Raw genomic sequence first — 18,338 nt, forward strand, 5'->3', positions numbered from 1 at the left:
AGGAGTTTGAGACTAGCCTAGGCAATATAGTGAGTCCCTGTCTCTCCAAAAAAAAAAAAAAAAAAAAAAAAAAGCCAGGTGTGGTAATACACACTTGTAGTCCCAGCTGCTCAGTAGGCTGAGGTGGGAGGGAGGATCGCTTGAGTACAGGAAGTCACGGCTGCAGTAAGCCGCGGTCACGCCACTGCACTGCTCTCCAGCCTGTGAAACAGAGCAAGACTCTGTCTCAAAAAAAAAAAAAAAACACAGACCATAAAAAAGTACAGATCGTTTGTTACTAGATTATAAACTGCTAATCAAATATGGATGGGTAGGCAGAAAGTCACGGAGGGCTATATGCAGTGCTAAAGGGATGAGGTATGAGGAGTCCATGGCATGGACTCTTTTTTACCTAAGATCCATGGACCCTGAGTGGTTTTACAAGTGCCATAAATCCCCTAAAATTATATTCCCAATTTTGTATATATGTTCATTTTCTTGTGGAGGCAAGATTTGCCAAAGGTGGTTTTTTAATCTAAAAACTGAATACTTTTTTTTTTTTTTTGAAACAGAATCTCTCTCTGTTGCCCAGGCTGGAGTGCAGTGGTGCAATTTCGGCTCACCGCAACCTCCACCTCCTGGGTTCAAGTGATTCTTGTGCCTTAGCCTCCCAAGTAGCTGGGACTGCAGGTGTGCACCACCACACCCAGCAAATTTTTTTTTATTTTTAGTAGAGACGGGGTATCACCATGTTGGCCAGGCTGCTTTTGAACTCCTGACCTCAGGTGATCCGCCCACCTCAGCCTCCCAAATTGCTGGGATTACAGGTGTGAGCCACCACACCCGGGGAAAACTAAATACTCTTTAAGGCTTGAAGAGGCAAAGTGGTCCGGGCACAGTGAGTCACACTTGTAATCCCAACACTTTGGGAGGCTGAGGTGGGCAGATCACTTGAGGTTAGGAGGTGGAGACCAGCCTGGTCGACATGATAAAACCCCATCTCTATTAAAAATACAAAAATTATCCAGGCATAGTGGCACATGCCTGTAATCCCAGCTACTCAGGGGCCACAACATGTGAGAAGAATGCAAGGAAAACTCTGGAAACATTAAAATCACATTGTTCTAGTGGTGATTACCTGTGGAAAAAAGTAAAAAAGCAGCTTTAACTTTTTATTCAATTTGCTACGGTTTTTGGCCATAAGAATTTGTGAATTGTACGATAAAAATGTTAAAATAAAAGTTATTAACAGAGGGCAGTGCTGGCAGTTGGAAGACCAGTTAAGAGGCCATTGCCATTATCAAGATGTTAGGGGAATGTTTGAAATAAAGAAAATATATGACTATGAGAAAAATGTAAGAGATTAAATCAGTGGCATGTGGATTGATTGTCTTCAGATTCCCTGAGTGATTAATGCCATGTGTTGATACCCTTAACTTAGATAAGGAATACTAATAGGAAGAGAAGAGTTAGGGGGAGGAAGACGAACCCAGGATCAAATTTACACGTATTCAGACACTTGATTTATGACAAAAGTGGCACTATAGAGCTGTAGGCAAAATCCATTGGATGTTTGTATAGAGAAATTGGAAAACGTGGCTCTTCACAAGAAAATCAATTCCAGGTGAATTATAATTTTAAATGTGAAAGGTAATACAGTAAAACTTTTAGAAGGTGTACAGAAGAAAATCTGCATGGCCTTAAAATAGGGAAATTTTTTAAAAACAGGATATAAAGGATAAGATTCCTAAATTTGACTACATTTAAAATGAAGAATTTCACCGGGCACGTGGCTCATGCCTGTATTCCCAGCACTTTGGGAGGCCAAGGCGGGTGGATCACCTGAGGTCAGGAGTTCGAGACCAGCCTGGCTGACATGGTGAAACCCGGTCTCTACTAAAAATACAAAAATTAGCCAGGCGTGCTGGCGGGCGCCTATAATCCCAGCTACTCAGGAGGCTGAGGCAGGAGAATGGGTTGAACCCGGGAGGTGGAGGTTGCAATGAGCCGAGGTGGCGCCATTGCATTCCAGCTTGGGCGACAAGAGGGAAACTCTATCTCAAACAAACAAACAAACAAACAAACAAAAAGGCCGGGTGCAGTGGCTCACGCCTGTAATCCCAGCACTTTGGGAGGCCGAGGCGGGCGGATCACAAGGTCAAGAGATCGAGACCATCCTGGCTAAGACGGTGAAACCCCGTCTCTACTAAAAGTACAAAAAAATTAGCCAAGCATGGTGGCATGTGTCTGTAATCCCAGCTACTCGGGAGGCTGAGGCAGGAGAATCGCTTGAACCCAGGAGGCGGAGGTTGCAGTGAGTCAAGATCGCGCCACTACACTCTAGCCTGAGTGACAGAGCAAGACTCTTGTCTCAAAAAAAAAAAAAAAAGTTCTGGTTATCAAAAGATACTATGAAAAGAGTGAAACGAGAAGCCACAAGGTGCGAGAAGATAATGTGACACATAAAAGTAACAAAGGACTTGGGTTCAGAATATATAAAGAACTCCTGGGGCCAGCACAGGTGGCTCCTATAATCCTAGCACTGCGGGAGCCTTAGGTGGGCGGATCACTTGAGCCGAGGAGTTCGAGACCAGCCTGGGCAACATAGTGAAACCCTATCTCTTATATTTAAAAAACAAAAACAAAAACCACACAAAAAAACCTGTACATCAATAAAATAAAAAGATAGTATGATTGAAAAATGGCCAAGGGACTTGGACAGTTCACACAAAAGAGATCCAAGTGGTCAATAAATGCATGAAAAGATAATTTACTCTCATTAGTAATTATGAAAATGCAAAAGAAGCTGGGTGCGGTGGCTCACGCCTGTAATGCCAACCTTTTGGGAGACCGAGGTGGGCAGATCACTTGAGGCCAGAAGTTCAAGACCAGCCTGGCCAACAGGGCAAAACCTTGTCCGTACTAAAAATACAAAAAAATTAGCTGGGCATGGTGGCGCACACCTGTAATCCCAGCTACTCAGGAGGCCGAGGCAAAAGAATTACTTCAACCTGGGAGGCAGAGGTTGCAGTGAGCAAAGATCACGGCACTGCACTCCAGCCTGGGCAACAGAGCGAGACTCTGTCTCAAAAAAGAAAGAAAGAAAATGCAAAATAAAATCACAAAAAGATATTATATGACCAATAATGGCTTAAAGAGTGACAAAACCAAGTATAGATGAGTATGTGAAACAGTAGGAATCCATAAGTGCTGCTGGTGAGTGTATAAATTAATACAACTATTTTGCAAAACAGCTTGGTGTTTTCTTACGTAAAGTACAGAAACAAGCAAACTAGAACACAAACGGACACATATTATATAATCTCATTTCTATGAAATGTCCAGGATACACAATTTCATAGAGGCAGAAAGTAGATTAGTAGTAGCCAGGGGCTCGTGTAGATGGAAATGAAGAGTGACTGCTAACACTCGAGTAGAGGGAAATGAAGAGTGACTGCTAACAGGTATAGATTCATTTTTGGGCGATAAAAATGTTCTGGAATTATATAATGGTTATGATTGCATAGCTTTGTGAATATACTAAAAACCTCTAAACTGCACACTTAAGGGTAAATGTTACATGAAAGTTATATCTCACTTTTAAAATTGTATGAGAGAAAAACTAGAGTGTTTAGAGTTGCATATTTAGTTGGTAAAGCTATAAGGAAATGATTATCATAATATTGACTTTAGATGGGGTAAAGGGAGGGGTTTTGATCAGGAGGGATTATGTGGAGGGATTTTGGAAGATGGCATTGTTAAACCTAGATGGTGTTTACACAGGTGCTTGCTATATAATTATATTCCTTTATAACTAGTTAAACTGTATAAATGAAGCAGCTGATTCAAGGTCAACTGACTGCTCCCAGTTTTGTTTATAACTTGTTTCTCTGGGATGAATCATCACTTACCTTTGAACTGTCTCCTCCAGCTGCTAAAATCGATTCTTAAAGTGGAAAAAGCCTGCTTGCTAGGCTGCTAGATTTTCTGTCAGATTTTTTGTTTTTTTTTTTTTTTTTTGGTCCCATTGAGCCAGTTATTGCCATCCTTAAGGAAGGATTCTTCTCAATAATGTCATTTTTTCTGGAGCTAGAACCGTGAATGTAAGTCATTAATAACAATCAGCTTAGCTGGGCACAGTGACTCACACCTGTAATGTCAACACCTGGGGAAGCCAAGGTAGGGGAATTGCTTGAGACCAGCCTGGACAACATAGTGAGACCCCCATCTCTTCCAAAAATTAAAAAATTATCTGGCTTTTCCACTTTATGATGGCTTACACCTGTAGCTCCTGCTCCTCAGGAGGCTGAGGTGGGAGGATCATTTAAGCCCAGGAGTTTTGAGGCTGCAATGAGCTATGCCTGCACCACTGCACTCCTGGGTGACAGAATAAGACCCTACCTGAAACCAAAACAAACAAAAAAAAGTAGCTATAAAAAAGAATGAAATCACTGATGCAGCTGGAGGCTATTGTCCTAAGTTAATTAAGGCAGGAACAGAAAATAAAATACTGCATGTTCTCCCTTATATGTGGGAGCTAAACAGCGGGTTACTCATGGCCATAAAGATGGCAACAGGCCAGGTGCAATGGCTCACGCCTGTAATCCAGCACTTTGGGAGGCCGAGGCAGGTGGATCACTTGAGGTCAGGAGTTCAAGACCAGCCTCGCCAACCTGGAGAAAACTCATCTCTACTAAAAATACAAAAATTAGCCTGGTGTCATGGCACACGCCTGTAATCCCAGCTACTCAGGAGGCTGAGGCAGGAGAGTCGCTTGAACCCAGGAGATGGAGGTTGAAATCGCCCCACTGCACTCCAGCCTGGGCAACAGAGTGAGACTGTGTTTCCAAAAAAAAAAAAAAAAAAAAAAGGCAACAAAAGATTGGAGACTACTTAGAGGGGGCAAGAGTTGAAAAAGTAGCTATTGCGTTCTGTGCTCACTACATGATTGATGAGATCAATCGTACCCCAAACCTCAGCATCACGCAATATACCCAGGTAATAAACCTGAAAGTGTACCCGCTGAATCTAAAATAAAAGTTGAAATTATTTTTTATGTGAATTTTTAAAGAATCAGTTTAAATATTTTCTTCAGAATGTTTTGTTGTTTTTGCTTTTGTCTTTGGAGACAAGGTCCTGCTTTGTCACATAGGCTGTAGTGTAGTGGCATGATCACGGCTCATTGCAGCCTCAACCTGCTGGGCTCAAACAGTCCTCCCACCTCAGCCTCCCGATTATCTGTGACTACATGTGCGCACCACTATGCCCAACTAATTTTTTAATTTTTTTGTAGAGACAAAGTCTCACTGTGTTCCCCAGGCTGGCCTCAAACTCCTGAGCTGAAGTGATCCTCCTGCCTTGGCCTCCCAAAGTGCTAGAATTACAAGTGTGAGCTACCATGCTGGCCCAGAATGTTGTTATAACATCTTAATCTTCCTTCCCCCAAAATAAGACCAGTTCAAATTGTAACCATCCAATGGGTCCTCCTTGCCCACTGTCCAGATAGAGCCAATTTATCAAAACAGGGGAATTTCAATAGAGAAAGGGTTTAATATACGCAGAGCTGGCCAAACAGGAGACTGGAGTTTTATTACTGAAATCAGCCTCCCCCACATTTCTGAGGCTATGGTTTTGTTTTGTTTTGTTTTGTTTTGAGATGGAGTCTCAAAAATTGCACTCCAGTGCCCAGGCTGGAGTGCAGTGACGCGATCTCGGCTCACTACAACCTCTGCCTCCCATGTTCAAATGATTCTCCCACCTCAGCCTCCTGAGTAGCTGGAATTACAGGTGTGCATCACCACACCTGGCTAATATTTGTAGTTTTAGTAGAGATGGGATTTCACCATGTTGGCCCGTCTGGTCTCAAACTCCTGACCTCAGGTGATCCACCTGCCTTGGCCTCTCAAAGTGCTGGGATTACAGGTGTGAGCCACTGTACCTGGCTGAGGCTAGGGTTTTTTAAGGATAGTTTGGTGGGCAGGGGGCTAGGGAATGGGGGAATGTTGAGTAGTTGAGTCAGGGATGATGTTATCTATAGGAGAATCTGTGAGGTTAGGAATCTTGTGGCCTCTGGCTGAATAACTCCTGAGCCATAATTTTTAACCTTGTGGCCAATTTGTCAGTTTTACCGAAGTGGTCTGGTCCCCAATCCTTCAGAGGGTATTTTCCCAGCAGGAGCTGTTACCTTCTTTGTTTCAAAGTAAACTAAATTCCTACCAAAGTTAGTTTTGGCCTAAGCTCAGAAATGTACAAGGGCAGCTTGGAGGTTAGAAGCAAGATGGAGTTGGTTAGGTCAGATTTCTTTCATTGTCATAATATTCCTAGTCAGATTTTTCTCACTGTCATAATTTTGGCAAAGGCAGTTTCAAAATTATTGATTTTATTCTGTCAACAAACTTTAAAATGGTGGTAATTTTGGCTTTTTTTTTTTTTTGAAAGAGTCTTGCTCTGTTGCCCAGGCTGGAGTGCAGTGGTATGATCTCAGCTCACCGCAACCTCTACCTCCCTGGTTCAAGCAATTCCCCTGCCTCAGCCTCAGCCTCCCGACTAGCTGGGATTACAGGTGCACACCACCACGCCCAGCTAATTTTTTTGTATTTTTAGTAGAGACGGAGTTTCACCATGTTTGCCAGACTGGTCCCAAACTCCTGACCTCAGGCAATCTGCCTGCCTCGGCCTCCCAAAGTGCTGGGATTAGAGGCGTGAGCCACCGCGCCCGGCTGTAATTTTGGCCTTTTAAGGTAAATGTATATTGGAGAAATAGAGAAAACCCAATAAAAGTAGCACACATTTTTAGGCCTTAGCATCTGTGGTAGAATAAAGAATTTCTGTGATCTTTGGTCCAGATGTAGGCACAGAGCCTCTGAAAACCTTGGAATTTCCTGAAACATAGGATTGTCTTGTTATACCAGTGAGGTGACTCGTAGTGGGCCCCTGGATAGTTTCAGGTTGGGGACTGATCACAAGAAAGACAAACCACATTATTAGAAGGTTGAGATAGAGGCCGGGAGATTGAGTTCAGTCATTTAGCCAATCATTTAATCAATCATGACTATGTAATGAAAATTAAAACTCTGGACAACCTTAAGCTCAGTAGAGCTTCCTGGTTGGTGAACACAGGAGGGTGACACTCCCGGATTCCACAAGGAGAGGGCACAGGATCTCTACTTCCCCTCCCACACCTCACCCTGCCTTTGTGTATCCTTTATAATAAAACTGTAATAATAAGTATAGTGCTTCTCTGAATTCTATTAGTTGTTCTAGTAAATTATTGAATGTGGGAGGGCTGTGAGTACTCCCTGAACTTGCAGCTAGTCAGCCAGATATGCTGGTGGTCTTGGCCCCTCCCCCTGCCATCCCCACAAAGACTTATGACTGGTGTTGGAAGTGCGGCAGTCTTGTTGAGGACTTTGCTCTTAAACTGTGGGGTCTATGCTAACTCTATATGGATGGCATCAGAGTTTAATTGCAGTATACCCAACTTGAGGTAGTGTCAGAATAGCATCTTCTGAAAAGTCTGCAGAGCCTGGCCAGTTGGAAAGAATGCTTGTTTATTATATTGTTGCTTGCAGTTGGTGGGAATTCATCATTACTTCCCCTTGCATTACAGATGCCTTTTGCCAAAGATTTCCATCACATATATAGTGGTCTGTTTTTTGCTATTACCCTGGCAACAACTCCATAACTTGGAAACCATTTCTTTTCTCCAACGTTGGCCATATTTGGTAATGTAGAATGTTGAATTGTGAATCAGCTCTAAAAATCCTAATAAATAAATGAACCTTAAAAATTGATTACTTAATAAGTACAGTATTTACCTTATTTATATAAGAGCAAAGACTTATCATATGATGCCTTTCATTCTGGTAGGTGTCACCAAGAATTCAATATAAGACTCAGAAAAAGTCTTTGACTTAGAAGGTGTTGTAAACTAAGCACATTCTGATTTCATTATCATGGCCTTATGGAAGCCCTCATCACTTTTCATTTGGCTTATCGAAGATACCCCCTAACTCCTTTTCCCTCTCTATTCTGTCCATTCTAAATTTTAGAGTAAGACACTTTTTTTTTTTTTTTTGTCTGAGACAAGATCTTACTCTGTTACCCAGGCTGGAGTGCAGTGACATGATCGCAGCTCACTGCAGCCTCTACCTTCCAGGGCTCAAGCAGTCCTCCCACCTCAGCCTCCCAAATAGCTGGGACTACAGGTGTGCACCACCACCCTCAGCTAATTTTTTTTAGTTTTTGTAGAGATGGAGTCTCACTATTTTGCTTAGGCTGGTCTTAAACTCCTGAACTCCAGAAGTCCTCCCACAGTGTTAGGATTACAGGCCCAATTTTCTTTTACAAAATATGTTCCAAATATGCCAACTTTTTCTGTGCTAACAAGTGATTTTTAGTAGTATACTCCCTAGGAGATTTGGGATAAGGGGCACAAACACTCTTTTTAGGGCGAAGGTGATATTTTATCATTGAGTGCAAAGGTAGCTACACTTTAAAAGAAATTTGTGCCATGAAAAAAGCAATTTGAAGATGGACGTTTAGAAATGTTACCATCTATATGTGATTTTGGTTGAAAAATGTTATGCCTCCTCCAAAAGCTGGTAAGTCTATCATTTGAAAACATTGGAAATAGAATGTTTCTAATCTTCCAAAAGAAAGGTTCAATTTTTGATCTATTGTTTAAAAATATAAAACTATAATACCTCTTCATTAGGTTCCAAGAAAAATTGCTGACATTACAGAAGATAAAAATTTATCATCCCTTGGAGGGAATTGAAAAACAAGTATCATGATTTAATAAATACAGCCAACAATGCACTTCTTCCATTGGGAGCTACATGTCTTTGTGAGGTTTATTTTATTTTATTTAATTTTTAATTTTTTTTTTTTTTGAGACAGAGTCTCATTCTTTCAACTAGGCTACAGTGCAGTGACACAATCGTGGCTCACTGCAGCGTTGACCTCCTGGGCTCAAGTGATCTTCCACCTCAGCCTCCCAACTAAGTACGACCACAGATGCACACCACCACACCCAGCTAATAATTTTTTAAATTTTTGTAGAGACAGAGTCCCACTGTGTTGTTGCCCAGGCTGGTCTTGAACTCTTGGCCTCAAGTGATCCTCCTGCCTCATCCTCCCAAAGTACTGAGATTACAGGCAAGAACCACCACCCCTGGCCTATTTTTTATCTATAATAAAAGCAAGTCAAAATCTAAATTAAAAAACCAAACCACAGAAGGGTTTAGACCTAAGATTTTTAAAAATAAGAGCCATCTGATCAGGCACAGTGGCTCCCACCTATAATCCCAACACTTTGGGAGGCCAACGCGGGAGGATTGCTTGAGCCCAGGAGTTCAAGACTGCAATGAGCTGTGATTGAGCCACTGTACTCCAGCCTGGGTGGCAGAGCAAGACCCTGTCTCAGAAAAAAAATCCATAAAAATGAGTAAATGAGTACATAAATATGAGCTATCTTCAATCACATTGCATTCTAAATGAAAAGGTAAAAAATTTTGTACCATGAATATGTAAGGTATTTAATATATTTGTTTTACTTATTTATATTTATTTTTAAACAAATGTTACTGTGATAAAATTGATATACAGTATTCAAAGTATAAAATTAGATAAATTTCTCTTTTTTTGAGACGGAGTTTCACTCTTGTTGCCCAGGCTGAAGTGCAGTGGCGTGATCTCAGCTCATTGCAACCTCCACCTCCCGGGTTCAAATGATTTTCATTCATTTGAATGAAACCTCAACCTCAACCTCCTGAGAAGCTGGGATTACAGGCTCCTGCCACTACATCCTGCTAATTTTTGTGTGTGTGTGTGTTTTTTTTTTTTAGTAGAGACCAGGTTTCACCATGTTGGGCAGGCTAGTCTTGAACTCCTGACCTCAGGTGATCCATCCGCCTTGGCTTCCCAAAGTGCTGGGATTACAGGCGTGAGCCACCGCACCCAGCCAGCTTTCGACCTATGTATACACATCTGTGCAGCCATCATCACGATCAAAATTGTGAATACATCTGTCATCTCCTAAAGTTTCCCTAGGTCCTTTTGTAATTACTTGCAGGCAACCACTGATGTGCTTTTTGTCACTCATAGATTACTTTGGATTTTGTAGAATTTTATCTAAATGGAGTTATATAGTATGTACTGTGTTTTTTGTCTGGCGTCTTGTCCTTTGTATTTCCATATGAATTTAAAAATCAGATTATCAGACAGGCAGCTGGTATTTTTATTGGGATTGTGCTGAATCTGTAGATCAGTTAGGAGTGAATTGACTTCTTAACAATATCAAATCTTTTAACCCATGAACATGCTTTGTTTCTCCACCTATTTAGATCATCTTTAATTTCTCTCAACATGTTTTCTGAAGTTCTTATGCCTCTTTTGTCAAATTTATCACTAGGTGTTCCATATTTTTATGCAATTATAAGTGGTATTGTTATTTTTCATTTCTATTTACAGTATGTATAAATGTAGTTGATTTTGTATATTGATCTTTTATCCTGCAGCCTTGCTAACTCTCTTATTCCAGTAGCTTTATTGTAGATTCTGTTGTATTTTCTGGAGATACTCCTGTTGTCCATGAAGAAAGACAACTTGCCTATTCCACTGGGCTGGAACTCCCAGTATAATTTTGAATAGAAATGGTAATCGTAGATATTCTTGCCTTGTTCCTGATCTTAGAGCATTTTGTCTTTACTATTAACTGTGGTGTTAGCTCTAAGTTTGTCATAGATACCCTTTATCAACTGAAGAATGTGTCCTATTCCTAGTTTGCTAAAAGTTTTTATCAAAAATTATTATTGAACTTTTGTCAAATGCATTTTCTATGTCTAATGAGATGATTATATGTTTTTTTCTTGATTAGCCTACTAATGTAGTGACTTATATTGATTGATTTTCAGATTTTAAGCCAACTAGAATTCCTGAGATAAACGTTACTTGGTCATGATGTATTTGCTCCCACCTCCCATTATTTAGAGAATATTCGTTTATGCCGGGCACGGTGGCTCATGCCTGTAATCCCAGCACTTTGGGAGGCCGAGGCGGGCGGATCACGAGGTTAGGAGCTGATCAAGACCATCCTAGCTAACACAGTGAAACCCCGTCTCTACTAAAAATACAAAAAATTATCCAGGTGTGGTGGCGGGTGCCTGTAGTCCCAGCTACTCAGAGGCTGAGGCAGGAGAATGGTGTGAACCTGGGAGGCGGAGCTTGCAGTGAGCCGAGATTGCGCCATTGCACTCCAGCCTGGGCGACACAGAGAGACTCCGTCTCAAAAAAAAAAAAAAAAAAAAAGAATATTCTTTTGTATTAGTCTTTTTATATGTTGTTGTATTTGATTTGCTGAAATTTTAATATGTATGCATCTATATTCATAAGGAATATTAGTCTGTAGTTATCTTATAATATCTTTGTCTGGTTTTGGTGTCAGGGTAATGCTGACCTCATAGTTATGAATTGGGAAGTATTCCCTCCTCTTCAATTTTCTGGAAGTGTGTAGAATTGTTACTACTTCTGTCTTATATGTTTGGCAGAATTGTCCAGTGAAGCCTCTGAACCTAGAATTTGTGGGAAGGTTTTAAATTATAAACTTAATTTTGTTAATAGATATAGGATTAGTTAGGTTATCTGTTACTGAGTGAGCTTTGGTAGTGTATATCTTTCAAAGAATTTTCAGTCTCCTCTAAGTTGTCAAATTAATTAACATAAAGTTGTTTACAATAATTGACAAAGTTGTTCTGATAACTGTAGAATCCATAGAAATGTGACCTTTCTCATTCTTGATGTTGGTAATTTCTATTTTGTCTTTTTTTTTCCTGATTAGTCTATCATTTTAATTTTATTGATCTCAAAAACCTGTGTATGTTCTTTGTTGGGTTTTTTGGTTTGTTTTTTGAGACAGGGTCTGTCACCCAGGCTGGAGTAGGGTGGCACAAATATGACTCACTGAAGCTTCAACCTCCTGGGCTCAAGCAGTCTTCCCACTTCAGCCTCTCAAGTAGCCAGGACCACAGGCACACCGCCATACCCAGCTAATTTTTAAATTCTTTGTAGAGATGGGGTCTCATCGTGTTGCCCAGGCTGGTCTTGAACCTCTGGATTCGAGCAATCCTCTTGCCTTGGCTTCCCAAAGTGCTGGAATTACAAACGTTAGCCACTATGCCTGGCGTTGTGTATGGTTTTATACATTTTCTCTCTTGTTTTCCAGTGGTTTTTTTATTAATTGATTTCTACTTTGGTCTTTATGATTACCTTTCTTCTGGGTTTCATTTGCTCCTCTTTTTTAAATTTCTTAAGGTAGAAAGTGAGAGCATTTCTTGTTTTTTTTTTTTTGATTTTTTTTTTTTTTTTTTTTTTTTGGTTTGGTGTTTTTTGTTAGAGACCAAGTCTCACTATGTTGCCCCAACTGATCTTGAACTTTTGGGTTCAGGTGGTCCTCCCACCTTGGTCTCTCAAAGTGCTGGGAGTTAGTCTTTCCTTTCTAATATAGTGTAGTGATATAATTTCCTTTCTAATATAATGTAGTGATATAATTTTCCCCCTAAGAACTGCTTTAGTGGTATGACATGTGTTTTCATTTTTATTAAAAAGACATAGTCTTGCTCTGTTGCCCAGGCTGTAGTGCAGTAGCCTGATCATAGCTTACTGCAGCCTCGACTTCCTGGGCTTAAGCGATCCTCCTGCCTCATCCTCCTAAGTAGCTGGGACCACAGTTGCCTGCCACCACACCCAGCTAATTTATTTTATTTTTTGTAGAGACGTGGTCTGGCTATGTTGCCCAGGATGGTCTTGAATTCCTAGCCTCAAGGGATTCCCACACCTTGGCGTCCCAAAGTGCTAGGATTACAGGCATGAGCCAGCACACCCAGCCTCTAATTTCCCTTTTGATTTCTTCTTTGACCCACAAATTATTCAGAAGTATATTGTTTAGTTTATGAATATTTGGGGATTTTCCAGAGATGTTTCTGTTACTGATTTCTAATTCTATTTCATTGTAGTCAGAAAACATATTTTATATGACTTGAATCCTTTTAAAATTTATTGAGTTTTGTTTTATGACTCAGAGTGTGATCTTTCTTAGCAAATGTTCAGTGTTCACCTGAAAAGAATGTATATTAGTACTGTTTGGTAGTGGTCTGTAAGTGTCAATTATGTCAAGTTTGTTGGTAGTGTTGTTCAAGTGTTCTACATCCTCACTGATCTTCCCATTTATTTATTCAATCATTTATATCAGTATGAACTAATAGGTATTTATTATCTAGATCAGACTGTAATCCATTAATACTTTAGTTTTTTTGCTTAAGTTGTTCCGTTTTGGCCATCAAGGTCCTTTCAGTTGGCTCCTTTCCCCCCTTGACTTAGATCAATTTGGTGGTTTTTGTTTGGTTGGTTTTGGTTTTGGTTTGTTGTTGTTTTATCCCTTCCTTACTATCTGCGATTATAAGATATTCCAGGCTCATGTTGTATATTTCTGACCCCAGTCCTAGAATCAGCCGTTTCTCCAAGAGGTCTGGATTTTTAAATTGGAGAACAGTATTACAAATCAAGATCTGGGTTCTAGGAATGCTTGTTTCTACTGGGGTGTCCTTTTTCTAGTCCCTCTTAGCTGATTGACCAAAGACATATAGTATTAGTATGTATACTAACCTGTGAATATACACATATCTATAAATATTTTATATGTAATTGTCTGTATTTATATTAAACATGAATTCTTCTTGATGTCTCTGGCTCCAATTCAATATCACATGGATCATTCTAGCTTCTTCTTCCCTTTGCTGATCTGTAAATTTCCACTCCAACAATGAGAAACCTGGGTCCCATCATCCACCATCCATACACATAAACTACTCAGTTCCAGTGTACGTGTATAGCAGTATCAAAATTATTAACCCATACTCCTTGAGAAACAACTTTATCAAGTTGAGTTCAGTACTTACCTGTAGTTCCTTTGATCTTTAGTCTAACTGATTTCATTCATTTCCAAAGTTTCTTACGTCAGCACTTTTCCCTTCACCCTCTTCAGTGATGTTGTTTCATACATTTGTAATACAGTTAGATTCTCTTGTCATAGTCTGCATTCTTCTCTGGGATCCTCTGATCTCATAAGTTATTTTTTTTTAATTTGCCTTTAGAGGTGACAAACCAAGGCTTAAATTTTTTTTTCCCTTACATTACTCTCTAGGTTATAAAGTTCTGTATGTTTTGACAAATGCGTAATGTCACGTATCTGCCACTACAGTATCATACAGAGTAGATTTATTTCCCTAAAATAGTGCACAGTACTTCACCTATTTGTCCCTCATCATTTCCCGCTGGCACCATTGATTGTTTTACTGTCTCCATAGTTATACCTACCTTTTCCAAAATGTCACAAGGTCAGAATCTTATGACATATAGCCTTTCAAATTAGTTTCTTTCACTTAGCAATATGCCTTCAAGGTTCCTGTCTTTTCGTAGGTGGATAGCTTGTTTATTTTTATCACTAAATAATATTCCATTGTATGGATGTGCCACAGTATGTTTATCCATCATCTATTGAAGGACATCTTGGTTGCTTCCAGTTTTGGGCGATCACGAATAAACTTGCTATACACATTCATGTTCAGGTTTTTGTGTAGACAAGTTTTCAACCCAAGTAAGTAATTATTTAGAGCAATTGCTGGATTGTGTGGGAAGACTGTGTTTAGCTTTTTAGAAACTGCCAAACTGTCTTCCAAAGTGGCTGTACCATTTTGCATTCCTACTAACAATAACAAGAGTTCCTGTTGTTCCCCATCCTTTTTAGCCATTCTAATAGGTATGTATGAGTATCCAATTGTAGTTTTAATTTGCAATGTCCTATGCCAAATGATGTTGAGAATCTTTTTATATACTTGTTTGCTATCTGTATATCTTTGGTGAGGTGGCTGTTCAGATCTTTTGCTCATTTTTAAAATTGGGTTGTTTGTTTTCTTGTTGAGATTTAAGAGTTCTTTACACATTTGTCTTTTATCAAGTATGTGGGTTTTTGGTTTTGTTTTGTTTTGGGGGTTGGGGGTTGGGACTTGACTTTTCTTGTTTGTTTTTGAGACAAGGTCTTGCTCTGTCACCCAGGCTGGAGTTCAGTGGTGCAGTCACAGCCCACTACAGCCCAAGCTCAAATGATCCTCCCACCTCAGCCTCCTAAGTAGCTGAGACCAGGTGCGTTAGGCTGCCACACACAACTAATTTTTAAATTTTTTGTAGAGACAAGATCTCCCTGTATTGTCCAGACTGATCTTGAACTCCTGGGCTCAAGCAGTCCTCCATCTTCAGCCTCCCAAAGTGCTGGGATTACAGGCATGAGCCACCATGCCCAGCCAAGTATGTGTTTTTTACAGATATTTCCTCCTAGTCTATGGTCTGTCTTTTTCATTCTCTTAACAGTATCTTTTGCAGAAGTTCTTAATTTTAATGCAGTCTAGCTTATTAATGTTTTTTTTCATGGTTTTGCTTTTGGTTTCATATCCTAAAAATTCATCGCCAAACCCAAGGTCACCTAGATTTTGTCCTATGTTATCATATACAAGTTTTATCGTTTTTTGTTTTTACATTTAGGTAAATCTTACATTCGGATCATTTTCATGACCCATTTTGAGTTAATTTTTGTAAAAGGTTGTATCTAGATTCATTTTTTTGCATATGAACATTCAGTTGTTCCAGCACCATTCGTCAATGAGAATATATATTTTCTTCATTGAATTGCCAGTGCTCCTTTGTCATATATCAGTTGACTATATTTGTATGGGTCTGTTTGTGGAGTCTCTGCTTTGTTCTGCTGATTTATGTATCTGTTCTTCCACCATGTTGTCTTGATCACTATAGCTTTATAGTGAGTCTTGAGGTCAGGTAATATCAGTCCTCTAACCTTATTCTTCTTCAGTATTGTATTGGTTGTTTAGGTTATTTTGCCTTTCCATGTAAACTTTAGAATCAATTTGTCAATATTCACAAACTAACTTGCTTGGATTTTGATTGGGATTGCATTTAATCCGTAGATCAAATTGCTTATAATTAACATTTTAGTCATATTGAGTCTTCCATTATGATCATGCAAGTCTCATTTATTTAGATCTTTGATTTCTTTCATCAGAGTTTCGTAATTTACAGTGTATAGATTTTCAGTGTATTTGTTAAATTTATATGTAGGCATTTCAGTTTTTCTGTTAATGGTATTGTGTTTTTAATTTCAAATTCTGATTATTCATTTCTGGTATAAAGGGACACAATTGACTTTTTAATATTAGCATTGTATCCTGCAACCTTGTTGTAATTGCTTATTAGTTACAGGATTGTTGTTTGTTGATTCTTTAGAATATTCTACATAGACAATCATGTCATCTCTAAACATAAACACCTTTATTTCCTCCTTCCCAATGTATTTACCTTTTATTTCCTTTTCTTGCCTTTTTGGTTTTGTTTTGCTTTTTAATTTATGTATTTTTTTTAGAAATGGGGTCTCACTATGTTGCCCAGGCTGGTCTTGAACTCCTGGGCTCAAGTAATCCCCCCAACTCAGCCTCCGAAAGTGCCAGGATTACAAGTATGAGCCACTGCACCCAGTCGTCTTTTCTTGCCTTATTGCACTGGCTAAGACTTCCAGTATGATACTGAATAGGAGTAGTGAGAGGCCATCCTTGCCTTGTTCCTGTTCTTGGAGAAAAAATACCCGGATTCTCCCCATGAAGTATTATGTTAACAACAAGTATGTCTTCTGTAGATGTTCTTGGTCAAGTGAGGAAGTTCTCCTGTATTCCTAGTTTGCTGAGTTTTTATCAAAAAAGTTTTAAATGGGTTTTAGATTTAGTCAAGTGCTTTTTCTGTATCAGTTGATGTGACCATATGATTTTTCTTCTTTAGTATGTTGATGTGGTAGGTAATTGATTTTCAAATGTTGAGCCATCCTTGCATACTTGGAGTAAATTCTATTTGGTGATGGTATATAACTTTTTTATACATTGTTGGATTTGATATTTCTAATATTGAGAATTTTTGCATCTGTTTTCATAAGAGGTATTGGTCTGTAGTGTTTTTTTCTTACAATATCTTTATTTGGTTTGGGTAATAGAGTAATACTGGCCCCATGGAATGAGTTAGGAATCATGTTACAATCATCTTTGCTTGGAAGAGATTGTAGAGAATTGGTATCATTTCTTCTATAAATGTTTGGTAGAATTAATCAGTGAAACATCTGAAACAGGTGCTTTTTTTGGAGATGATTAGCTATTGACTCAGTTTCTTTAATGGAGTCTTTCTTTTTTTAAAATTCAATCTAACAAGCTCTACCTTTTAATTGGGGCATTTAATGTGGTTGTTGATGTGGTTTGTTTATGTCTACCACCTCCCTATTTGTTTCCTAATTATTCCACCTGTTTTTTTCTCCTTCCGTGATCTTTTGCTGCTTTATTTGGGGTTAAGTGTGTATTTTTATTCCATTTATGTCCTTTATTGGCTTATAGGCTATAACCCTTTATTGTTTAGTGTTTGCCTTAGCATTTATAGTGTATATCTTTAACATATCCCTCATATCAATCTTCAAATAATATTATACCACTTCACATACAGGATAAGAATCTTCCATTTCTCCCCTTCCAGCCTTTATATAGTTGTTTTCAAACTTTTGATCCTCATGTGTTGTAAATCCCACACTATTATTTAATAGTAATAATATTATTATTAATTAAACATTTACTGCTTTTTAAAGAGATTTAAATAATAAGAAAATGTCATGCATCTTTTTCCATGTAGTTAAGTTTCCCATTGCTCTTCATTCTTTTGTGCAGATCCATATTTCCACCTGGCATCCTTTGCTTCTGCCTAAAGGACATTTTTAAAACATTTTTTTGTAGTGTGGTTTGCTGTTGAGAATTTTATTTAGTTTTTTTGTTTGAAAAAGTATTTATTTTTTACCTCTGTCTTTTAAAAATATTTTTGCTGAGGCCGGGAGCAGTGGCTTTTGCCTATAATCCCAGCACTTTGGGAGGCTGAGGCAGTAGGATTACTTGAGGTCAGGAGTTCGAGACCAGCCTGGCCAACATGGTAAAATACCGTCTCCATTAAAAATAGAAAAATTAGCCAGGCATGGTGGCGCGTGCCTGTAATCCCAGTTACTTGGGAGGCTAAGGCAGGAGAATCTTTTGAACCCAGGAGGCAGAGCTTGCAGTGAGCCAAGGTTGCGCCATTGCACTCCTGCCTGAGCAACAAAATGAGACTCCATCTCAAAAAAAAATTTTTTTTTGCTGGTACAATGACTTCTGACACTAACTATCCCAAATTAGGCCAAACTTTACAAGGGCCCAGGCTGCTACAAAACTGCCCTCACT

At 39.2% G+C, this 18,338-nt stretch overlaps 1 protein-coding gene across 34 annotated transcripts in view, besides 1 other annotated feature; it reads left to right on the forward strand.

Annotated features, from left to right (window-relative positions):
- Positions 1-18,338, forward strand: part of MAST2 (microtubule associated serine/threonine kinase 2) — a 232,511-nt gene that overhangs the window by 171,837 nt on the left and 42,336 nt on the right. The gene's annotated exons all lie outside the window — the stretch shown is intronic.
- Positions 113-232: a silencer, noted in NCBI's record as "silent region_836". NCBI's record gives its function as "represses an Ori minimal core promoter by ATAC-STARR-seq in GM12878 lymphoblastoid cells {active_cell/tissue: GM12878}" and the evidence as "EXISTENCE:reporter gene assay evidence [ECO:0000049][PMID:35858748]".

Source organism: Homo sapiens, chromosome 1, assembly GCF_000001405.40.
Source record: "Homo sapiens chromosome 1, GRCh38.p14 Primary Assembly".
NCBI classification, from domain to species: Eukaryota; Metazoa; Chordata; class Mammalia; order Primates; family Hominidae; genus Homo; species Homo sapiens.